This window comes from Homo sapiens, chromosome 12 (genome assembly GCF_000001405.40).
Source record: "Homo sapiens chromosome 12, GRCh38.p14 Primary Assembly".
Taxonomy (NCBI): domain Eukaryota; kingdom Metazoa; phylum Chordata; class Mammalia; order Primates; family Hominidae; genus Homo; species Homo sapiens.
In genome coordinates this window covers 123657897-123681885 of record NC_000012.12, presented here as the reverse complement: position 1 = coordinate 123681885, position 23989 = coordinate 123657897, and the positions used below count along the sequence as shown (strand labels likewise).

Here is a 23989-nt window from a genome sequence, read left to right as displayed (position 1 = left end):
TGAGGATATAGAGAAATTATACCCCACATACATTGCTGATGGGAATTTAAAATGATGCAACTGCTTCAGAAACTAGTTCCTCAAAAGGTTAAACATACAGTAATAACGCAACCCAGCAACTCCACTATATATATCCCCAAGAGAAATGGAAACATATGTTCACACAAAAACCTGTCCACAAATGTTCACAGCGGCACTATTCATAATAGCCAAAAAACAGAAACAACTCAAATGTCCATTAGCCAATAAATAGATAAGAAATATGTGATATATCCATACAATGGAATAGGATTCAAACACCAAAAATGAATGAAGTGGTAACAGCTGCTACAAGGTAAAAGAACCTTAAAAGCATCATGCTAAGTGCAAGAAGAAAGTCACTGAAGACCACATATTGCATGATTCCATATACGTGCAATGTCCAAAATGGGCAAATTCATGGAGACAGAGGCAGATTCACGGAGGCCTTGGATGAGGGATGGAGATAGGAACGGCTACAGGGACACACGATTTCTTTCTGGGGTGGTAGAAATGTTCTGAAGATAGATTGTGGTGATGGTTGTACAACTGTGTAAATTTACTAAAAATCACTGAAAACCTGTGATTTCTTTCTTTCTTTCTTTTTTTTTGAAAGAGAGTCTTGCTCTGTCGCCTAGGCTGACATGCAGTGGTGTGATCATAGCTCACTCCAGCCTTGACCTCCTGGGCTCAAGCGATCCTCTCAGCTCAGCCTCCCGAGCTGGCACTACAGGCCTGCACTATCATGCCCAGCTAATTTTTGTAGAGATGGGGTTTTGCCATGTTGCCCAGGCTGGTATCCAACTCCTGAACTCAAGTGATCCACCCACATCGGCCTCCCAAAGTGCTGGGATTACAGGCGTGAGCTGCTTCGCCAGGCCTGTTCTTTCTTATTCTTTCTTTTTTTATATTTCTTAAAGGTTTCTGAATAAATATTATTAAAACCATCCCCCCAGTATGATCTTCACAATCATGATTTTATCCAAAGAGATATTCTTTCCTTCTTCCAAAAACTAGACTGACTATGCCAGATAAGAAAATACTGAATTTAGGCCCAGTGCAGTGGCTCACTCCTGTAATCCCAGCACTTTGGGAGGCCGAGGTAGGCAGATCACCTGAGGTCAGGAGTTTAAGACCAGCCTGGCCAACATGGTGAAACCCCGCCTCTACTAAAAATACAAAAATTAGCCAGGTGTGGTGGCGCACACCTGTAGTTCCAGTTACTCGGGAGGCTGAGGCACAAGAATCACTTGAATCCAGGAGGTGGAGGTTGCAGTGACCCGAGATCGTGTCACTGCACTCCAGCCTGGGCAACAAAGCGAGACTCTGTCTCAAAAAAAAAAAAAAGAAAGAAAAAAGAAAGAAAATAGAGTTTATATGTTGTATTGCTCTAAGCCTAAAAGAAAAAAAGTCAGGCCGGGCATGGTGGCTTACACCTGTAATTCCAGCACTTTAGGAGGCCGTCTCAAAAAAAAAAAATTTACTCAAAAGTTGTGTGATTTTTTTTTTTTTTTTGAAACGGAGTTTCGCTCTTGTTGCCCAGGCTGGAGTGCAGTGGCACAATTCTGGCTCACTGCAACCTCTGCCTCCCTAGTTCAAGCGATTCTCCTGCCTCAGCCTCCAGAGTAGCTGGGATTACAGGCGCCCACCAACACGCCTGGCTAATTTTGTATTTTTAGTAGAGATGGGGTTTCTCCATGTTGGTCAGGCTGGTCTCAAACTCCGGACCTCAGGTGATCCGCCCACCTTGGCCACCCAAAGTGCTGGGATTACAGGTATGCGCCACTGCGCCCACCAAAATTTTTAAATTTAAAAAAATACTCAATTTGGGCTGGGCGCGGTGGCTCACGCCTGTAATCCCCGCACTTTGGGAGGCCGAGGCGGGCGGATCACGAGGTCAGGAGATCAAGACCATCCTGGCTAACACGGTGAAACCCCGTCTCTACTAAAAATACAAAAAATTAGCTGGGCGTGGTGGTGGGCGCCTGTAGTCCCAGCTACTCAGGAGGCTGAGGCAGGAGAATGGCATGAACCCGGGAGGCGGAGCTTGCAGTGAGCCAAGATCACGCCACTGCACTCCAGGCTGGGCGACAGAGCGAGACTCCATCTCAAAAAAAAAAAAAAAAAAAAACTCAATTTGAAAACAATTTGCAATAGAAAACATAATCTCAGTTTTGGAAGACCATCCCTTAAAAAGCTGTTGGGGCAAGGCATGGTGGCTCACACCTGTAATCCCAACATTTTGGGAGGCCAAGGTAGGAGGACTGTTTGATCCCAGGAATTTGAGACCAGCCTGAGCAACATGGCAAAATCCCATCTCTACAAAAGATACAAAACAATTAGCTGGGTGTGATGGTTCATGCCTGTGGTCCCAGCTACTCAGGAGGCTGAGGTAAGAGAATCACTTGAGCCCGGGAGGTCGAGGCTGCAGTGAGCCATCATTGCATCACCATACTCCAGCCTGGGTGACAGAGCAAGACCCTATCTCAAGAAATAAAAAATGAAAAAAGCTGTTGGTGGAACTGCTGGTGTTCTCACAGGTAGCATAACTTTTGTGCCCAATAACCAAAGAACATACCTGGTCACAGCAGCAGCGAACATCACAGGCTCCAGCTGTTAAATTACAAGGACAAGGGCCAAGGGGCTGATACACCTGGTTAGGAATGACAGTCACGTTCTCTGAAAAGTACACACAACAGAAAAATTCAGCTAAGAAACATTCCGACAAAGCACAGTCACATTTTTGACATTCAAAAGAAAGCTGAATTATCGGCCAGGCGCGGTGGCTCACGCCTGTAATCCCAGCATTTTGGGAGGCCAAGGCAGGTGGATCATGAGGTCAGGAGATCGAGACCATTCTGGCTAACACGGTGAAACCCGGTCTCTATTAAAAATACAAAAAGTTAGCTGGGCGTGGTGGCAGGCGCCTGTAGTCCCAGCTACTTGGAAGGCTGAGACAGGAGAATGGTGTGAACCCGGGAGGCGGAGCTTGCAGTGAGCCGAGATCGTGCCACTATACTCCAACCTGGGCGACACAGTGAGACTCCGTGTCAAAAAAAAAAAAGCAAGCTGAATTATCTTGTTTTGTAAATCATTATTACCAAATATTTGACATTAAGGAATCCACGAAGTATATGAGGCCTGCATCTACCACTCCAACAAAAACCCAAACATAAGAAAACACGCCAGTTACAATGAACCAAAGAAGTCATAGTTGATCTAGAAGATAATCAATTGACTAAGAGTCACAAGTTAGTATATACATAATGTACTGATTTTAGGCTGGGCGGGGTGGCTCACACCTGTAAACCCAGCACTTTGGGAGGCCAGGGTGGGTGGATCACCTGAGGTCAGGAGTTCAAGACCAGCCTGGCCAACATAGTGAAACCCTGTCTCTAATAAAAATACAAAAAGTAGCCCAGGCTACAAAAAAGAAACAGATAAAATTAACTTAATATATTTTACTGAACCCAACGTATCCAAAATAATATCATTGCAACAGGCAATCAATGTAAAAATTATGAATGAGCTATTCCACATTCTTTGTTTCACATTAAGTCCTCAAAAACTGGTGGCTGTTTAACAGTTACAGCACATCTCAATTAAGACCCATCCCCTTTCAACTGTCCAGTGTCCAGACATGGTTCGTGGCTGTGGTACCCAACAGTGCAGGTGGGACAAATGTGGTCTGACCACGAGAGTATGGGGGGCTGGGTTATGCAGGGATGATACAGTGAGACACAACAGCTTCCCTGAGGGGCTCGCACTCTCAGAGGGAGGAGACAGGTAAAGAGATCATGTGACCATAAAGGGTAAACACTGAAATGGATCTGCCATGGGAACCCAGGGAGGGCACGTGGCTTAGGCTGGGCGTCAGGAAGACTTGCAGAGAGAGAGAATGCGCTGAGCCTGAAACACACGTAAGAGTTTGTACAGGTAGCCAGGCACAGTGGCTCAGGCCCGTAATCCCAGCACTTTGGGAGGCCAAGGCGGGGGAATCACCTGAGGTCAGGAGTTCGAGACCAGCCTGACCAACATGGAGAAACCCCATCTATACTTTAAAAAAAAAGAAAGAGTTTGTACAGGTAAGAGGGGCTACTGGAGAGCTGTAGGTGGAAGACAGAGGGGGTGGATGAATAGGGGGAACACTGTGGTGCAGGGGAGAAGGTGGCGGGCGTGAATGGGACAAGGCCAGAGAAAGCAGCTCAGGAGAAATGCTAAAAAGGTAAACATTGGCAGGGCCCGTTGTTTATAACTCTTCAGGATATTACAGGTTTCCGAACTTGTTTTCCTCTTTGAAGAGGAATATGTTACACGACATTTCAGCCTCCTAACTCAGAATCCAGTGACAGTAATGCTTTGGATTTCTCTCCAATCATTTATCAGATAAAAGTTTCATTCTGCTGAATTTTACTTTTGCATTTGGTACACGTTAGAAAACCATGCAGGAACTATTTGTTTAAACCCCACATAACAGTTAACTGTAATGACACAATAGCTGAAGTATCTAAAGAACAACTAACGATCTGTTCTATCCTGTAACATAGCAGAAGGTCAATGATACATCAATGGTATCCGGAACAAGGAGAAGGTCCACATCGCAGACCACGTTACACGGGTAAGGGTCTGACCCTCAGTGTTATCAAACCCATGTGACACAAGCAAGGCACTTTATTGATTTTTTTTTGAGACAGGGTCTCACTCTGCTGCCCAGGCTGAAGTGTGAAATGGCACAATCACAGCTCACTGCAGCCTCAACCTCCCAGGGCTCAAGTGATCCTCCCACCTCAGCCTCTCAAGTAGCTGGGACCACAGGTGTGCACCATCATGCTCAGGTAACGTTCATATTTTCTGTAAAGACAGGGTCTCACTATGTTGTCCATGCTGGTCTCAAACTCCTGGGCTCGAGTGATCCTCCCATCTTGGCCTCCCAAAGTGCTGGAATTACAGGCATAGTACATGAGCCACCACCCCCAGCCACGAGACACTTCAGAATAGGGTTTTACTATGTGTTATACAAATAGATGTTTGTGTGTTGATTTATGTTTTCTACATTGTTCGCTGGCTTCATTGTTACTGGGTATGACACATACCTCCTGTCTGTGCTTCCATTCTTTTTCTAGTTTTAATCGCTGGCTGGCTGAGTAAAAAATTTTTCATGCCTTCATGGGGTCAGAGCTGACAACTCAATCACTCATATACAAAGATGTTCAATTTTCTAAGTTTGGTATTCTAAAATATTAAATATTACCTAAATATACTGAAGCATATTTTCCTTTTTTTTTTTTTTTTTTTTTTTTTAGATGGAGTCTCGCTCTGTCACCCAGGCTGGAGTGCAGTGGTGTGACCTTGGCTCACTGCAAGCTCCACCTCCCGAGTTCACGCCATTCTCCTGCCTCAGCCTCTCGAGTAGCTGGGACTCCAGGCACCCGCCACCATACCCGGCTAATTTTTTGTATTTTTAGTAGAGACGGGGTTTCACCGTGTTAGCCAGAATGGTCTCGATCTCCTGACCTCGTGATCCGCCCACCTCAGCCTCCCAAAGTGCTGGGATTACAGGCGTGAGCCACCGCGCCCGGTCTTTTTTTAGAGACAAGGTCTTGCTCTGTCGACCAGGCTGGAGTACATGGAGCAATCCTGGCTCACTGCAGCCTCCACCTCCTGGGCTCAAGCGATCCCCCGACCTCAGCCTCCCTCATAGCTGGGGCTACAGGCACCGACTACCACGCACAGCTAATTGTAGTATTTGTTTGTAGAGACAGGGTTTTGCCATGTTGCCCAGGCTGGTCTTGAACTCCTAGGCTCAAGTGGCCCACTCACCTCAGCCTCTAAAAGTGTTGGGATTACAGGCATGAGCCACCACCTGGCCTCAAGCATATTTCTCAAAGGAAAAAAGTCAGTGCTTTGAATGGTACAGCTATCATGAATCCCTTCTGTTGTTTTGGGGGGATTTTTTTTTTCATCATTGAATACGGTTTTTTTGGCTTTGTTTTGAATTTTAAGCCATAGAAAAATTTAAAACTTTTAAGTGGGTAACACATTTGCATGGTTCCAAAAAATCAAAAGCATATTAAAAAATTCCTCACTGTCAGCCCTTTCCTGTTCCCACATCATCCTCCAACTTGGTAGCACATTATTAGCTTCTCCAACATCCTTCCAGAATTTCTTTATGCAAATGTTTTCATTTCTGCCTCCTTTATGCAAAAGATAGCACACTGTAGGCAGCCATCTGCACTTGCTTTTTTCACTTCATTCATCATGGAGGCCTTTCCATGCAAGTACACTGAGGGCACAGTAGTCTGCTGAAAGGAGCTGTCAAAACTTGTCTTATCATCCTAAACTTCCAGAAGCACCAGGAGGACCACAGTTAGGGATGTAATAAGGGAAGCGGCAGTAAAGGAGTCTCCAGGTAACAGACTTTTGCTACTAAAGTCTGGAACGCTTCTCCCTCCATGCCACGTGGCCATAAAGGCAAGAGATGTCAGAGTTCGCCACCGGAGACAGGGGACATGGCAGTAGCACTCATCACTGCAGAGCCCTCTACATCGGCACATCTAGTTGAAAGCTCTTTTGGTTTAAGAACACTAACATCATGTGAGACGGAGATGAACACAAAACCATTTTCTCATGTCCAAAGATTCATGTACACGGGCATAACGATCTTTGCTGTAGCATCAAAAGCTGGGAACAGACCAGGTGCAGTGGCTCCTGCCTGTAATCCCAGTACTTCAGGAAGCCATGGTGGGAGGATCACCTGGGCCCAGGAGTTCAAAACCAGCCTGGCTAACATAGTGAGACCCTGTCTCTACAAAAAATGTAAAAACTAGCCAGGTGTGGTGGTGCACGCCAGTAGCCCCAGCTACTATGGAGGCTGTGGCAGGAGGATCGCCTGAACCAGGAAGGTTGAGGCTGCAGCAAGCCAGGATCGTGCCCCTGCACTCTAGCTCCAGCCTGGGTAACAGAGTGAGACCGTGTCTCTAAAAAAAATGAAAATAAAAATAAATTTTAAAAAAAGCTGGAAATGATGTAAACTTCATCAGCCTCAAACTCCTACGCTCAAGCGATCCTCCCACCTCAGCCTCCCTAGTAGCTAGGGCTACAGGCAGGCACCATCATGCCCAGCTTTTTAAAATTTTTTATAGAGACAGTATCTGCTGTGTTGCCCAGGTTGGTCTCGAACTCCTGGGCTCAAGAAATTCCCCCGCCTTGGCCTCCCAAAGCACTTACAGTGTGGGAGCCACTGCGTCTGGCCACCCTTCCTTTTTTCTTCTTAAGATGCAGTCATGACAATCAATGCACGTGCCGAGCACAGTGGCTCACGCCTGTAATCCCAGCACTTTGGGAGGCCGAGGCAGGCGGATCACAAGGTCAGGAGATCAAGACCATCCCAGCCAACATGGTGAAACCCCATCTCTACTAAAAGTACAAAATTAGCTGGGCGTGGTAGCGTGAGCCTGTAGTCCCAGCTACTCGGGAGGCTGAGGCAGGAGAATCGCTTAAGCCCAGGAAGTGGAGGTTGCAGTGAGCCGAGATCACAACACTGCACTCCAGCCTGGTGACAGACTTAGACTCCATCTCAAAAAAAAAAGAGAGAGAATCAATGTACATAAACAAATTTCACCTTCTCCCAAAAAGGATTCAAGGTAGCTTATAAAGATGCAAACAGTAGAGAAAGATCAAATAAATGTTAAATAAAATAGTACAAAATGAAATTTCTTAAAAGAAAACTAAACAAAAGAAAAATAAGTTTAGAAAAGCAAGACAGACTCAAGTGAAGTATACTTTACAAATTGCATGGCATACACTTATAATCAAACAGGTAAGCTTGACACAAATTTTTCTTTTTTTGTTTTTGTTTTTGGTTTTTTTTGAGACAGGGTCCCACTCTGTCACCCTGGCTGGAACGCAGTGGCGCGATCACAGCTCATTTGTAGCATTAACCTCCCGGGCAGCTCATTTATAGCATCAACCTCCCGGGCTCAAGCAATCCTCCTACCTCTTCCTCCTAAGTAGCTGGGAACAACATGAAAGTTTTGACAGTCAAAGACTTCACTTGCCTGAGGCATTATGGGTCAGAGAAGAGTTGGCATAAATTTCCACTTGAATGAGTAGATGTGCTGAACAGGATGAATTATGAGATGCTGAAACCAGAAGGGTCTGGAGGATACAGGGGGACTCTGAGAAGGAATCTGTCTCATTGGAGGAACACCAGTCCAGACCTCTCTTCCACCTCACTGTCACTTCCAACACCTTCTGAAAGGAAAACATTGCTGTATTTTTAAAGTGACTCAAAACAGGGTCTATAAGAATACATAATGGAAAACACAATAAAAGTACACATCAGCCTCCGTTCATTTTATAAAAGGGAAATGTATACAGAGATGACACAGTTATCTTCAGTTCCCCCCCATAAACCTATGGTAACATGCAAGCCCTGATTCTTCTTCCTTAACATAAAAGCAAACAACTTCGGGATACTTAGAGAAAGCTAAACACAGATCTGATAAATAAACTCAGTTTATTGTACACCTTTTTAGTTTCTTTATCATCCTATCAGTGGAAGAGTAAATACACAAAAAAAGTCAATGAAAACAATCCTCAGTTTATCCCAGAATGACTTTAGACATGTACATGTTCACTCCTGGGGTACAAGCAGAGCTTGTCTTTCCTGTCCTTTTCTCTCCAGAATTGATGTTGCATATACTAGGTATCCAATAAACACTTATTAAATAGAAGATGCTTAATCTCTCCAGGTTTGAGTATCCTTACACATAAGCTCAGAGTTGGGCAAGATCAGTGGTTATGAAGCTTTTTTTTTTGAGACGGAGTCTCGCTCATCACCCAAGCTGGAGTGCAGTGGCGTGATCTCGGCTCACTGCAATCTCTGCCTCCCGGGTTCAAGTGATTCTCCTGCCTCAGCCTCCAAAGTAGCTGAGATTACAGGCACCCGCCATCACGCCCAGCTAATTTTTGTATTTTTAGTAGAGATGGGTTTCACCATGTTGGCCAGACTGGTCTTGAACTCCTGACCTCAGATGATCCGCCCTCCTCGGCCTCCCAAAGTGCTAGGATTACAGGCGTGAGCCACCGCGCCTGACCAGCTTTTTCTTTTTTTTTAAGAGACAGGGTCTTGCTCTGTTGCCCAGGCTGGATGAAGTGCAGTGGTGCGATCATAGCTCTCTGCAGCCCTGAACTCCTGGGCTCAAATAATCCTCTTGCCTCAGCTACCCCACCCCCCTCCAAGTATCTGGGACTGTAGGTGTACGCCACCCACCTAATTTTTTTTTTAATTGTTTTGTAGAGACGAGGTCTCGCTATGTTACAGGCTGGTCTGGAACTCCTGGGCTCAAGCAATCCTCCCGCCTCAATCTCCCAAAGCGCTATGAGTACAGGCGTGAGCCACGATGCCTGGCATAAAGCTTTTTTGAATCACTGACCCATTTGATGATCTAAAGGAAACTGGTGACCCTCTCATCAGAAAAATGCACATACACACAGAACTTTACATACAATTTCATAGAGTTCACAGACCCACTGAAATACATCCAAGGACTCCTAACCCCAGGGTAAGGAACCCGTGGGCTGGATAAGTGTCTACCAGATCCAACAGCCCACAATTTCATGATTGTTGAGAGCATGGAGAAAGCCATGCCTTGTTAAATAAAGAGAGCACTGCAGAAACCCTAGCTGGGGGCCTCTTCACAGGCTACAGAGAAGGTTTACTTCTGGCCTTACCGCACCGGGGATCACAGTCACGCTCCAGTCTTCCGTCTCATTGTTCAGCACTCCACACGTCGGAATTGGCAATATTCCTAAAGAAAGAAGACCAGCATGCAAAGGCAGCAAGGTCCAGCAGCTCAGGGGGTGCATTGAGTCAGACTGCCTAGGATGGACTCACATTACAGCCTAAGATTGGGCCCTTTACAAGCTGCTTGACACTGGGACAGTGACAACCTCTCTGAACTTGTTTCTTCCTTGGTCAAAGGGGATGAAAAGATATTACTGTTCTTACTAGGAAAATGGGATGATGCACGATGTTAGCTCAATGAATGCTAACCATTATTATTTCAGGCTTTCTTCGAACCTGTCCGTCTGTCCTCTTTGGCCTACAGCAGCCGCCCGATCCTTTTCTCCCCATGCGACTTTGCAGAGAACAGAGGCAGGGGGCCCCAAGGATGCCACCTCTCCAGGCTCCTTGGGAGGTCTGGATCCAGTCCAACCCCCACCCTCCCCAAAAGAGGGCCGGACTTTACCCGCCTCGTCCTGCAGCACTGCCAGGGACACGGTCACACCCTCGGTGTCTCCGACCAGGGACGCGCTGACCGCAGGGCCGGACATTCGGATAAAAGGAGGGATGAAAGCTAGGCGGGAAGGAAAGGGGACAAGGAGGGGTTAGCAGTGGAAGAATCACCGCCTAAGGTGTGTGTGGCGGCTTGCTTTGGCGTTGTCGACTCCCGAAGCTCCCGGGGGAGTCCAAGTCTGGCCCTTTTAACGCCCAGTCCCCTCAGCCCCGGCCCACCGAGGTCACTGCCGCGCCGTACACACCCAGGTCCCCCCACAGAAGCCTCAGGATGCCCTGCAGAAGGAAAAGCCTCAAAAGAAGAGCGGCCGGAGGCTGGAAGCCCATGCCTTAGACCTCGCGGGCCGGGCACAGCAGAACCGCGCCCTCATTAGAACCCAGGAAGGACTCAGACACGAAAACGCAGCAGCCACTGCCCCGCCGCCGCCATCTTGCAAGCGAACGCCCGGAGCTATGGCAACCACCAATCGGCGGCCGGCCAGGAGGAACGCCGCGCTGTGATTGGACCAGTGGCAAGAGCGGGCACCCCGGCCCCGCCCACAAGGCCTAGCATTTTTGCTGCTTGACTCTGGTGGGGAGAGTGAGGGCTGAAAAACTACCTATCCGGTGCTCCACTTAGTACCTGGGTGACGAAACAATCTGTGCACCCAACCCCCGTGACACGCAATTTACCTATATAGCAACCTGTACATGGACCCCTGGGCCTAAAAGTTGAAAACATCAAAATTAAAAAGGTCCTGAAAAGCAGGAGTGCGTGTCCGGCTCAAAAACTGGAGTTTTCCCCTACCCTGGAATTAATCCAACAATAGCCAAGAGCGATCCTATAGACACTGGCTTCTAAATAAAAAGGGTGGGACTTGCTCCTTAATAAACTTGATTTTTATACGGATTTGTTTTAGGGGTGAGTAGAAAAAGGGGATGGGGCTGCCGCGCTGTGTTTATTATCTTTACTATCGTTTATGATGTATTATTTATATTTTATATTTTTATAAAATAAATATATATTTACAAAATAGATATACTTTGTTTTATATATATATATCAGATATACATACTTGATATATATAAAATACATATAGGCCGGGTCTGGCGGCTCATGCCTGTAATCCCAGCAATTTGGGAGGCCGAGGCGGGCGGATCACAATGTCAGGAGTCTGAGACCAGCCTGATCAACATGGTGAAACCCCGTCTCTACTAAAAATACAAAAAATTAGCCAGGCGTGGTGGCAGGCGCCTATTATCCCAGCTACTCAGGAGGCTGAGGCAGGAGAATTGTATGAATCTGGGAGGCGGAGGTTGCAGTGAGCCGCGATTGCACCACTGCACTCAAACCTGGGCGACAGAGCCAGACTCCGTCTCAAAAATATATTTATTTATTTATTTATCTTATAAAATATATATGTATTTATATTTTATCTTATATATATTTATCTTTTATATAAGTATATATTTTGTAAATTTTATACTTATATGTTATAATTTTATAAAATTTATATTTTTATAATTCTTATCATTATCATTTATTATCACTATTGCTTTTATTATCATTCTCCTAGGTTTTTGAAGGATTTTCTCCCCTGCACAGAGCTCTCAGCACTCTGAAAGCAGATCCAATCACAGAACACACAAGAGGTTTTGCCCAGCAATAGGACAGATGTGAAAGAATCAAAATTCTGTCTGGAAAAAAATTGTTTTTTCTTATATCAGTAGCCTCAGAACATTTCAAATATTGTCACGGCTTGGGGACTGAGAGTGCAGGGTCTGAGGTCAGGCTGCCTGGCATGGGATTTCGCCTTCCCTCCACAGATATTCTCAGCTGTTAAGTGACTTTGGGCAAGTCAACCTCTCTAAGTTTCAGCTTCCTCATCTATAAAAAAGGGATGATAATAATCCTTCCTTGGGGATTGTGTGAGGATGAAATGAGGTAACATATCTAATGAGGTTAAACCAATGGCTGGCATACAGTAAGCACTCAGTTAATGATCAGTTACTTGTTAACTATCAGAGAGGTGGTGTATCCTTTAGCTGAGACAATCATGGTGTTCAGCATTGTGGCTGACTGACGGTAAATGCCAAGTAAATGTTTGCCATTATTAGTCTTTTTTTTTTTTCTTTTTGAGACAGGGTCTCACTCTGTCACCCAGGCTGGAATGGTGCAGTGGCACAATCATAGCTCACTGCATCCTCAAACTTCTGGGCTCAGCTGATCCTCCCACCTCAGCCTCCCAAGTAACTGGCAATACACCACCACACCCGGCTAATTTTTGTATTTTTTATAGAGACGGGGTTTCACCATGTGGCCCAGGCTGGTCTCAAACTCCTGGGCTCAAGTGATCCTCCTGCCTTGGCCTCTAAAAGTGCTGGGATTACAGGTATGGGCCACCGTACCCAGCCCCATTATTACTCTTAATGTTCAGTTATATATTCATTGATCAGCAAATCTAACATTGTGAAAGGATTCTGAAAGTTGAGGCTTTATAAGGGCCTGACACTGGGTGTTATCTTTTTCTTATACTCCCTGAAAAACTGTGGGTCACTACAGTTGTAACATGAGCATGAAACTTTTCCCGTGTACCTCAGCTCCTCTCTGGAAGACTGCAAAATGTTTACCTCTCTTGATATCTTGGAATGAAGCCTAGGAGAACGTTACTAAGAGGAAGCTGTCAAACACTTAAATATTTCTGTTATTCCCCATCTGTCTTTGGGGGGAATTAATCTGCAAATTAAGTTGGCAAGGCCAAGCGGTAAAGATTAAGAGATAAATCCTCCCAAAAGAAAACATTTCTGGGCCGGGCTTGGTGGCTTATGCCTGTAATCCCTGCACTTTGGGTGGCAAAGGCACATGGATCACTTGAGGCCAGGAGTTCAAGACCAACCTGGGCAACACAGAGAAACCCATCTCTACCCAAAAATACAAAAATTATCTGGGCGTGGTGGCGCATGCCCGTACTCCCAGCTACTCGGGAGGCTGAGGCAGGAGAATCGCTTGAACCCAGGGGTCGGATGTTGCAGTGAGCCGAGATCGCGCTACTGCACTCCAGCCTGGGCAACAGAGTGAGACTTCATCTCAAAAAAAAAGATAGAAAACACTTGAAGCTGGTGATCAGCAGCTTCCCGATAAGATCTCAGGAGTTGGGCAAGCAGGCTCATGCATACATAGTAAGAGGCAAGATGGCAGATTTTAACTGGTATATAACCTTCCTCTGGGAAGGCTCGACTGGTAAAGGAAAATGCCTCAAATGAGCATGCGCACAACTTCAGTAAACACACTGCACATGCGGCCCCTCCCAAGTGCTGGCAGGCCACTGACATGCAGACAGCCCACCCCAAGGAAAAATCAAGGGAGGGCACAAACCTCAGAACCATGCTAATGTATAGAAACCCCCAGTGAAGGGTCGGACGGGGCACTTGAATCTCTCAAGTCGCCCGCTTGGCCCTCTTCCAAGTGTACTTTACTTCCTTTCATTCCTGCTCTAAAACTTTTTAATAAACGTTTACCCCTGCTTTAAACTTTGCCTTGGTCTCTCACTCTGCCTTATGCTGCTTGGCCAAATTCTTTCCTCTGAGGAGGCAAGAATCGAGTTGCTGCAGACCTGTACAGACTCGTCACTGCTAACGGTGATCCAGGGAATTCTCCAAGATCGTACCCAAGATCACCAAGGTGGCACCTCTACAAATATGTAAACTATTCATATCTTGAGTAGTAGACTAAAAGGCAAACCTATCAAAAATAATAACTACAGCTTTTTAAGACATAGTATAATAAGATATAAATATTGTAGAAACAAAAAGTTAAAAATCAGAGGGATGAAGTTAGAGTATTAGTTTTCTCTGCTTGTTTTTGCAATCAGAGTTGTCATCAGTTTAAAATAATGGGTTATAAGATGGTATTTGCAAGCCTCATGCTAAACTCATATCAAAAAGCCTACAACAGATACACAAAAATATAAAGCAAGAAATTAAAACATACCACCAGAGAAAATCACTTTCATAAAAAGGAAGATGGAAGGAAGGGAGGAAGGGAAGATCAGAAAACAAATTTAAAAATGGCAGTAGTAAGTCCTTACTTATAAATAATAACATTGAATGTAAATGGACTAAACTCTCCAATCAAAAGACATAGAGTGGCTGAATAGATTTAAAAAAAAAAGACCTAATGATTAGCTGCCTATAAAAACTCTTCACCTATAAAGACACACATAGACTAAAAATAAAGGGATGGAAAAAGATATTCTAATGGAAACCAAAAAAGAGCAAAAGTAGCTATATACTTATATCAGATAAAATAGATTTTAAGACTAGGTGTGATGGCTCATGCCTGTAATCCCAACACTTTGGGAGGCCGAGGCAAGAGGAACCCAGGAGTTGCTTGAGCCCAGGAGTTCAAGACCAGCCTGGACAATACAGCAAGATGCTATCTCCACAGAAAAAGAAAAAAAAGAGGCCAGGCGCAGTGGCTCACACCTGCAATCCGAGCACTTCGGGAGGCCAAGGTGAGTGGATCATCTGAGGTCAGGAGTTCAAGACAAGCCTAGCCAACATGGCGAAAACCCATCTCTATTAAAAATACAAATATTAGGCTGGGCTCGGTGGCTCATGCCTGTAATCCCAGCACTTTGGGAGGCCGAGGTGGGAGGATCACGAGGTCAGGAAACTGAGACCATCCTGGCTAACATGGTGAAACCTCATCTTTACTAAAAATACAAAAAAATTAGCTGGGCATGGTGGCAGGTGCCTGTAGTCCCAGCTACTTGGGAGGCTGAGGCAGGAGAATGGCGTGAACCCGGGAGGCAGAGCTTGCAGTGAGCTGAGAACACACCACTGCACTCCAGCCTGGGCGACAGAGCGAGACTCTGCCTAAAAAAAAAAAAAAAAAAAAATTAGCTGGTCGTGGTGGCAGGTGCCTGTAATTGCAGCTACTCGGGAGACTGAGGTGGGAGAATCACTTGAACCCGGGAGGTGGAGGTTGCAATGAGCTGAGATCATGCCACTGCACTCCATCCTGGGTGACAGAGTGAGACTCTGTCTCAAAAAAAAAAAAAAAAAGTGGTAAAGAAGGTCATTATATAATAAGAGGCTCAGCAAGAGAATATAACTATTGTAAACATATATGCAGCCAATACTGAAGCATTCAGATATATAAAGCAAATATTATTAGGGCTAAAGAAAGAGATAGACCCCAGTACAATAACAGTTGGAGACTTCAACCTCCCACTTTCAGCATTGGACAGATTATCCAGACAGAAAATCAACAAGGAAACATCAGACCTAATTTGCACTATAGACCAAATGGACCTAATAGATATTTATGGAACATTTCATCTAATGGCTATAGAATACATTCTTCTAAGCACATGAATCATCGTCAAGAATAGATCATATGTTAGGTCACAAGTCTTTACAAAAAAAAAATAATAATAAGAACAAGCATCTCTCTCTTTTTTTTTTTTCTTGAGATGGAGTCTCACTCTTGTCCCCCAGGCTGGAGTCCAATGGCACGGTCTTGGCTCACTGCAACCTCCGCCTCCCAGGTTCAAGCGACTCTCCTGCCTCAGCCTCCTGAGTAGCTAGGATTACAGGTGTGCACCACCACGCCCAGCTAATCTTTATATTTTTAGTAGAGACAGGGTTTCACCATGTTGGGCAGGCTGGTCTTGAACTCCTGACCTCAGGTGATCCACCCACCCGGTTTCCCAAAGTGCAGGGATTACAGGCATGAGCCACCATGCCCAGCCCCAGATCAAGCATCTTCTCTGATCACAATGGAATAAAATCAGAAATCAATAACAAGAGGAACTTTGGAAAGTATACAAACACAAGGAAATTAAACAGCATGCTGCTGAATGATCAGTAGGTCAATGAAGAAATTAAGAGTTGGATTTTTTTTTTTTTTTTTTTTGAGACAGAGTCTTGCTCTGTCACCAGGCTGGAGTGCAGTGACACGATCTCAGCTCACTGCAACCTCCGCCTCCCGGGTTCAAGCAATTCTCCTGCCTCAGCCTCCTGAGTAGCTGGGACTACAGGTACCCGCTACCACGCCCAGCTAATTTTTTGTATTTTTACTAGAGATGGGGTTTCACCATGTTGGCCAGGATGGTCTCATTTTCTTGACCTTGTGATCCGCCCACCTCGACCTCCCGAAGTGCTGGGATTATAGGCACGAGCCACTGCGCCCGGCCATTAAGAGGGAAAATTTAAAAACTCCTTGAAACACACGAAAATGGAAAAACATACCAAAACCTATGGAATACAGCAAAAGCAGTACTAAGAGGAGACCTTATAGCAGTAAGTACCTTTATCAAAAAAGTAGAAAAACTTCAAATAAACAACCTAATGATGCTTCTTAAAGAACTAGAAAAGAGTAAACCAAATCCAAAGTTAATATTAGAAAAGAAATAATATGGTGGCTCACGTCTATAATCCCAGCACTTTGGGAGACCAAGGCAGGTGGATCACCTGAGGTCAGGAGTTCATAACCAGCCTGGCCAACATGGTGAAACCCCATCTCTACTAAAAATACAAAAATTAGCCAGACATGGTGGCACATGCCTGTAGTTCCAGCTACTTGGGAGGCTGAGGCAGGAGAATCGCTTGAACCCAGGAGGCAGAGGTTGCAGTGAGCCGAGATTGTGCCACTCCACTCCAGCCTGGGGGACAGCGCCAAGACTCCGTCACAAAAAAGAAAAGAAAAGAAATAATAAAGAGCAAGAGCAGAAATAAATGAAACTACAAGTTAAAAAATTCAGAAGATCAACAAAATGAAAAGCTGGTTTTTTGAAAAGAAGAAAATTGACAAACCTTTAGCCAGACTAAGAAAAAAAAGACCCAAATAAGTAAAATCAGAGATGAAGAAGACATTACAACTGATATCACAGAAATTCAAAGGATCATTAGAGACTACTATGAGCAACTATATGCCAATAAATTGGAAAACCAGCAGGGCGCAGTGGCTCACGCCTGTAATCCTGACACTTTGGGAGGCTGAGGTAGTGGACACTTGAGGTCAGGAGTTCGGGACCAGCCTGGCCAACATGGCAAAACCCCGTCTCTACTAAAAATACAAAAATTAGCCGAGTGTGGTGGCGCATGCTTGTACTCCCAGCTACTTGGGAGGCTGAGGCGGGAGGATCACTTAAATCTGGGAGGCAGAGGTTACAGTGAGTGGAGATCGTGCCACTGTACTCCAGCCTGGGTAACAGAGTAAGACTCTGTCTCAAAAAAAAAACAACAACAACAACAAAAGAACTACAGACCAATATCTCCGATGAACATTGATGCAAAATCCTCAACAAAACACCAGCAAACCAACTTCAACAACACATTAAAAAGATCATTCAGGCCGGGCATGGTGGCTCACACCTGTAATCCCAGCACTTTGGGAGGCCAAGGTGGGTGGATCACTTGAGGTCAGGAGTTCGAGACCAGCATGGCCAACATGGTGAAACCCCGTCTCTACTAATAATACAAAAAAATTAGCCGGGCATGGTGGCGCATACCTATAATCTCAGATACGCAGGAGGCTGAGGCAGGAGAATCGCTGGAACCCAGGTGGCAGAGGTTGCAGTGAACCGTGATCAGGCCACTGCACTCCAGCATGAGTGACAGAGCAAGACTCCATCTCAATACAAAAAAAAAACAAACCAAAAAAAAAACAGATAATTCAATCAGGTGTGGTGGCTCATGCCTGTAATCCCAGCACTTGTGGAGGCCAAAGCAGGTGGATCACCTGAGGTCAGGAGTTCAAGACCAGCCTGGCCAACATGGTGAAACCCAGTCTCTACTAAAAATCCAAAAAAATTAGCTGGGCATGGTGGCAGGCACCTGTAATCCCCGCTACTTGGGAGGCTGAGGCAGGGAAATCGTTTGAACCAGGAAGGCAGAGGTTGCAGTGAGCTGATATCACACCATTGCACACCAGCCTGGGTGACAAGAGCGAAACTCCATCTCGAAAAAAAAAAAAAAAAATCATTCATCATGACCCAGTAGGATTCATCCCAGGGATGCAAGGATGGTTCAACAGGATGGTTCAACATAGGCAACTCAATCAATGTGATACATCGTGTCAACCGAAGGAAGAACAAAAGCCATCTGATCATTTCAATGGATGCTCAAAAAGCATTTGATAAAATTCAACATCCTTTCATGATAAAAACCCTCAAAAAACTGGGCAAAGAAGGAACATACTTCAACACACACACACAAAAGCCACATATAACAGACCCACAGCTAGTATCGTACTGAACAGGAAAAAAACTGAAAACCGTTCCTCTGAAATCTGGAACATGGTAAGGATGCCCACTTTCACCACTGGTATTCAACATAGTGTTGAAAGTCCTAGCTAGAGCAATAAGTCCTGAGAAAGAGATAAAAGGTATTCAAATTAAAAAGGAAAAAGTAAAATTATCCTTGTTTGCAGATGATACGATCTTATATCCGAAAAAACCTAGACACCACCAAAAAACTATTAGAACTGATGAAATAAGTAAAGTGGCAGGATACAAAATCAACATACAAAAACCAGGAGCATTTATTTATTTAGAGACAGGGTCTCACTCTGTCACCCAGGCTGGAGTTCAGTGGCATGATCATGACTCATTGTAACCTGCGCCTCTTGGGCTCAAGCGATCCTCCCACCTTAGCCTCTGGAGTAGCTGGGACTACAGGCATGAACCACCTCACCTGGCTAATTTTTATATTTTTTTTAGAGACAGGGTTTTGCCATGCTGCCCGGGCTGGTCTTGAACTCCTAGGCTTAAGTGATCCTCCTGCCTCAGCCTCCCAAAGTGTTGGGATTACAGGCGTGAGCCACTGCACGCAGACCAAGATTTGAAATTAAAGTACTTCGGAGTTGAATAAAAAATTGTCTGGCATTTGACCAAATGCAGTTTAAAAGTACACATTTGAAGAAGAGTTGAATGAGCATGAGATAAACAATGAATGAAAGGAAATAATTCAACCAAATATGAAAATCAAATTATTTTATTGTAAAAATTTATATAAAATAACTCATAAGGGCAACAGTTAAAAACAAGTTAAACAGAACTAACCAAATATATAAGATATTTCAAATAAAAAAGTAATAATAAAAGCCTTGCTAGCTTGTTTGAAAGTATATATAATACTTTATTTCCTAGACTTAAAATTGTGATTTCCATTACACTTAATTAGTATACAAAATATTATTTTTAAAAGACAGGTTCTCAAACTCAAGGATTAACAAATATTTGCAAAGTGATCACCAAAGTCTTTGTATATTTGTTAACAAAAACACAAATCCAGAATATAAAATCTATCTGAAATTATCTAAGCCAACATCAAATTATTTAAATATGACTCAGCTTGTATAAAGAGAAAATTAAAATCTTCCTTACATACAAAGTTTTGTACACAATGGGTTTTATCAGTACAGACTTTTTTTTTTTTTTTTTTTTTGAGACAGAGTTTTGTTCTTGTCGCCCAGGCTGGAGTGCAATGGCGCAATCTTGATCTTGGCTCACTGCAACCTCCACCTCCTGGGTTCAAGCAATTCTCCTGCCTCAGTCTCCTGAGTAGCTGGGATTACAGGCACCTGCCACCACGCCCAGCTAATTTTTGTATTTTTAGTAGAGACAGGGTTTCACCATGTTTTCACCACGTTGGGCAGGATGGTCTCAAATTTCTGCCTCATGGGTTCAGTAGAGTAGTAATCCCAGCTACTTGGGAGGCTGAGGCAGGAGAATGGCGTGAACCCAGGAGACAGAGCTTGCAGAGAGCCGAGCTTGCACCACTGCACCCCAGCCTGGGCAACAGAGCGAGACTCTGTCTCACAAAACAAAACAAAACAGAAACCCAGCCTGATCACTCCTGACCTCGTGATCCACCCACCTTGGCCTCCCAAAGTGCTGGGATTACAGGCGTGAGCCAACGTGCCCGATCTTTTTTTTTTTTGATACAGAGTCTCGCTCTGTCACCCAGGCTGGAGTACAGAGGCGCTATCTTGGCTCACTGCAACCTCTGCCTCCTGGATTCAAGCAATTCTCTTGCCTCAGCCTCCCGAGTAGCTGGAACTACAGGCACCTGCTACTTCGCATGGCTAATTTTTCTATTTTTAGTAGAGACAGGGTTTCACCATACTGGCCAGGCTGATCTTGAACTCCTGACCTTGTGATCTGCCTGCCTCGGCCTCCCAAAGTGCTGGGATTGCAGGGGTGAGCCACCACGCCCGGCCTCGTCAGTAAACATTTTTAAAAAACAAACCAAACCAGCCACCATTCCTTAAACTCTTTGTACAAATATGTGCTAGAAGCTAAAAGGACTTTTAATAATTTCAAGATTACATAAAGAAATACATTTTTTGTTGTTGAAATTACAAATACTTTTGCTTTTGAACTTATAAACACTTTTGGGATTCAGTCCAAAGCTTCTAGAGAACAGTTTTAATAAATACATTTAAATTTTTAGTAGAGATGGGGTCTCACTTTGCTGCCCAGGCTGCTCTCGAACTCCTGGGCTCAAGCAATCCTCTGTCCTCAGCCTCCCAAAGTGCTGGGATTACAGGTGCAGTTTCAATATTAATGTGGATTTTTTTTCCTCATTAAAAAAGGAAAGAATTCTATCTGAAAACCATACTTAACATAGAGTCCATTTTCTCCAGTAAGTTCTCCCTCAAAACCAGTCATAAGCTTTCACATATAAGCTCTTCCCACAACTATTTTGAAGAAAATTTGCTTCTGTACACGTTCTCCTTACTCATTTAAAATGAGATTTTGTAGTTATTTGGTGACAAACTATTATTTAGATGACTTTGTCCAAATATGTACTGATATCAGACAAAAAGTAAATATCTGCAAATATCTGAGGCTGTCTCAATTTAGACAATAAGAATTTTATTCACATGACTACTGAAGTTAACTGTTGATTCAAATAAGATGTTCTATGTTGATTAATGCCATTACTCCACAAATAGTCCCTTTTTCCAAAGCTACGTTCAAATTTCGTATGGCATGCATTTCACAATGAGGACCCGGATTCAGGGAGTAGGTTAGAAAGCCTATGATGAGTCATGACAAGCTGACTTTGACTAATAGTCATCCCATTAAAAAAATGAAAGCCACAAACATGGACAGAAACCAGTCATAGAATATTTTAGGATATAATGCATAGAATGATTCCCTCAAACAAATCAGTCCTCCAGAAGCACAGGATGAAAAGGATGTTTGGGAAATATTTTCTGTAAGGTCACCATATTAAAAATTATCCTATACCTATCTTTATTTTTTTCAGTCTTCCCAACAAAGAATCTGCTATATAATTTCTATTAACAGCTCTAAAAGATGGGGAAAATATTTTATCCTCAGGCAGACACTTTCAGTTTCTTTTTCTTGGCTTTCAGCACTGGAGGCAGAGAAATTTTAAAGGCTGTCCTGAAATTACAGAGAGGAAAACATTTTTTAATGTTCTAGAGCTGTGAAGTATTAGCCACCCACACAATCTCAAAGATACTTACTCGCACGTAGTACAAATGGGGCTGAAATTGCAGAATACTGTAAATTAAAAAAAAAAAGAAACAATAGGGTGGCTGAAAAACAACACAGCTGAGAAACTGTTTTCCTGCCCCCCAACATAGAAAAAAAAGAAAAACTAGGTACATTAACTTACTTGACAAACACACAGAACAGACATAACCAATTTCAATGAGATTTCGATGACAGAAGCAAGCAGCCCTGTAGTCAACATGAACTGGGGGTGGGAGGATTAACTGAGATCTCTGATCTTGATCGGGAAGAAACACCCACTGTAAAACAAACAAACAAAAGAAACTTTTATTTAAAACATGGGAAAAAAATAACATGAAGCCCACCCTTCTAGGCCTTGGAACTCCAAGGCCTCCATTTATTCCCTTCTCCTGAGTACTAGCACCAGCCATCTTGCTTCCATTCCTTTCCCAGGACACAGAGGTCATCCTTCCCTCCAGGCATCAGGGTCGCCGCTGCTGTCTCCTTACCAGCAAATACTGCAGAAGAGAAGGCATCTGAGGCACCTTCAGGTACAGTCCTCCCGTGATGTCACAAGCCTGCAAGACACAGGCGGCTTGCTGCCAAACTCGCACTTACCTAGGGTTTCCAGAGGAATGAGGTTCTCATGAGCAATGCCTTGGGCCTACAAAATCAGAGGAGGATATGACACTGCAGATTATTATTATTTTATTTTTATTTTTATATTTTGACAGAGTCTTGCTCTGTCGCCCAGGCTGGAGTGCAGTGGCACAATCTCGGCTTACTCCAACCTCTGCCTCCTGGGTTCAAGTGATTCTCCTGCCTCAGCTTCCCCAGTAACTGGGATTACAGGCATGCGCCACCATGCCTGGCTAATTTTTGTATTTTTAGTAGAGACGGGGTTTCCCCAGTCACATGGTAATTCTATGCTTAACTTTTCGAGGAAGTTCTGAACTGTTTCCTGAAGTGGCTATACCATTTTACATTTCCAGCAGCAATGTAGGAGGGATCCAATTTCTCTATATCCTCACCAATATTTATTATTAGCTGACTTTTTGATTACATGTGTCCTAGTGGAGTGAAGTAATAGCTCATTGTGGTTTTGATTTGCACTTCCCTGGTCGGTAATGATATTAAGCATCTTTTCATGTGCTTCTTGGCCATTTGCAGATCTTTGGAGAAATAGCTGTTCAATCCTTGGCCCACTTTGAAATGAGTTATTTGTCTTATTTTTGAATTTTAAGAGTTCTTTATATAATCAGAATACTAGTCCCTTTATCAGATACATCATTTGCAAATATCTCTCCCAGTTGTCTTTTTACTTTCTTGATAGTGCCCTTGGAAGCACAAAAATTTTTAATTTTTATGAGATTTGTTTTCATTGTATTTTGTTAATTTTATTATGTAAAAAGAAACTGTGAGATGGCTTTATTCTGTTCTCTTTAAGAAATAACACTTTTTTGTCCAGGTGCAGTGGCTCATGCCTGTAATCCCAGCACTTTGGGAGGCCAAGGCTTCAGGACTGTTTGAGCCCAGGAATTCAAGACCAGCCTGAGCAACATAGTGAAACCCTGTCTCTACAATAAATTTAAAAAATTAGGCCGGGCGCGGTGGCTCACGCCTGTAATCGCGGATCACTTGAGGTCAGGAGTTCGATACCAGCCTAACCAATAGAGTATAAAACCCTGTCTCTACTAAAAATACAAAAATTAGCTGGGCGTAGTGGCGGGCACCTGTAATCCCAGCCGCTTGGGAGGCTGAGGCAGGAGAATCGCTTGAACCCAGGAGTTGGGGTTTCAGTGCACCGAGATCGTACCATTGCACTCCAGCCTGGGCAACAAGAGTGAAACTGTCTCAAAAAATTAAAAAATTAGCCAGGCATTGTAGTGCATGCCAGTGGTCCCAGATACTTGGGAGACTGAGTGGGAAGATCATTTGAGCTGGGGAGGATAAGGCTGCAGTGAGCCATGATCATGCCACTGCATTCCAGCCTGGGCAAGAGCAAGACTCTGTCTAAAAATAAAATAAAATAAAATAAAAATAAAACTCTTTTGAATTTGGTCCTCTTTTTCCAAACTTTTGCTATCTTCAGAGTTTTCCAAAGACACAAAACACTCAAGCTCTCCTGGTTGCTGACACTAAGGTTTCCTGTCCATGTTAATAGTTTTTCCCAACAATCATTCATCTATTCATTTCA

General features: G+C 44.0%; 2 protein-coding genes across 9 annotated transcripts in view, besides 2 other annotated features; both read right to left on the bottom strand.

Annotated features, from left to right (window-relative positions):
* The window catches only part of TCTN2 (tectonic family member 2), a 37287-nt gene extending 26514 nt beyond the window's left edge, over nt 1-10773 (bottom strand). For 2 of the 4 annotated variants that reach the window (NM_024809.5, NM_001410989.1), the window contains exons 1-5: nt 10564-10773; nt 10272-10379; nt 9754-9830; nt 8076-8271; nt 2597-2697 (exon numbers count right to left, since the gene is read on the bottom strand). In NM_024809.5, the coding sequence (NP_079085.2) occupies nt 2597-2697; nt 8076-8271; nt 9754-9830; nt 10272-10379; nt 10564-10645 (564 nt within the window). In that variant the 5' untranslated portion in view covers nt 10646-10773. The remainder of the gene's footprint in view (nt 1-2596; nt 2698-8075; nt 8272-9753; nt 9831-10271; nt 10380-10563) is intronic. The other 2 variants (NM_001143850.3, XM_017019974.2) reach the window with 1 other exon arrangement.
* Nucleotides 198-247: an enhancer, noted in NCBI's record as "active region_7274". NCBI's record gives its function as "activates an Ori minimal core promoter by ATAC-STARR-seq in GM12878 lymphoblastoid cells {active_cell/tissue: GM12878}" and the evidence as "EXISTENCE:reporter gene assay evidence [ECO:0000049][PMID:35858748]".
* GTF2H3 (general transcription factor IIH subunit 3) overlaps nt 19282-23989 on the bottom strand; it is a 28776-nt gene continuing 24068 nt past the window's right edge. For all 5 annotated transcript variants that reach the window (NM_001516.5, NM_001271866.2, NM_001271868.2 and 2 more), the window contains 4 exons: nt 22302-22370; nt 21956-22091; nt 21804-21840; nt 19282-21720 (listed from right to left, as the gene is read on the bottom strand). In NM_001516.5, the coding sequence (NP_001507.2) occupies nt 21651-21720; nt 21804-21840; nt 21956-22091; nt 22302-22370 (312 nt within the window). In that variant the 3' untranslated portion in view covers nt 19282-21650. The remainder of the gene's footprint in view (nt 21721-21803; nt 21841-21955; nt 22092-22301; nt 22371-23989) is intronic.
* Nucleotides 21349-22548: an enhancer, noted in NCBI's record as "CDK7 strongly-dependent group 2 enhancer chr12:124143885-124145084 (GRCh37/hg19 assembly coordinates)". NCBI's record gives its function as "activates an origin of replication core promoter dependent on BRD2, BRD4, P300/CBP, MED14 and CDK7 cofactors, with strong dependence on CDK7, by STARR-seq in HCT116 cells {active_cell/tissue: HCT116}" and the evidence as "EXISTENCE:reporter gene assay evidence [ECO:0000049][PMID:35650434]".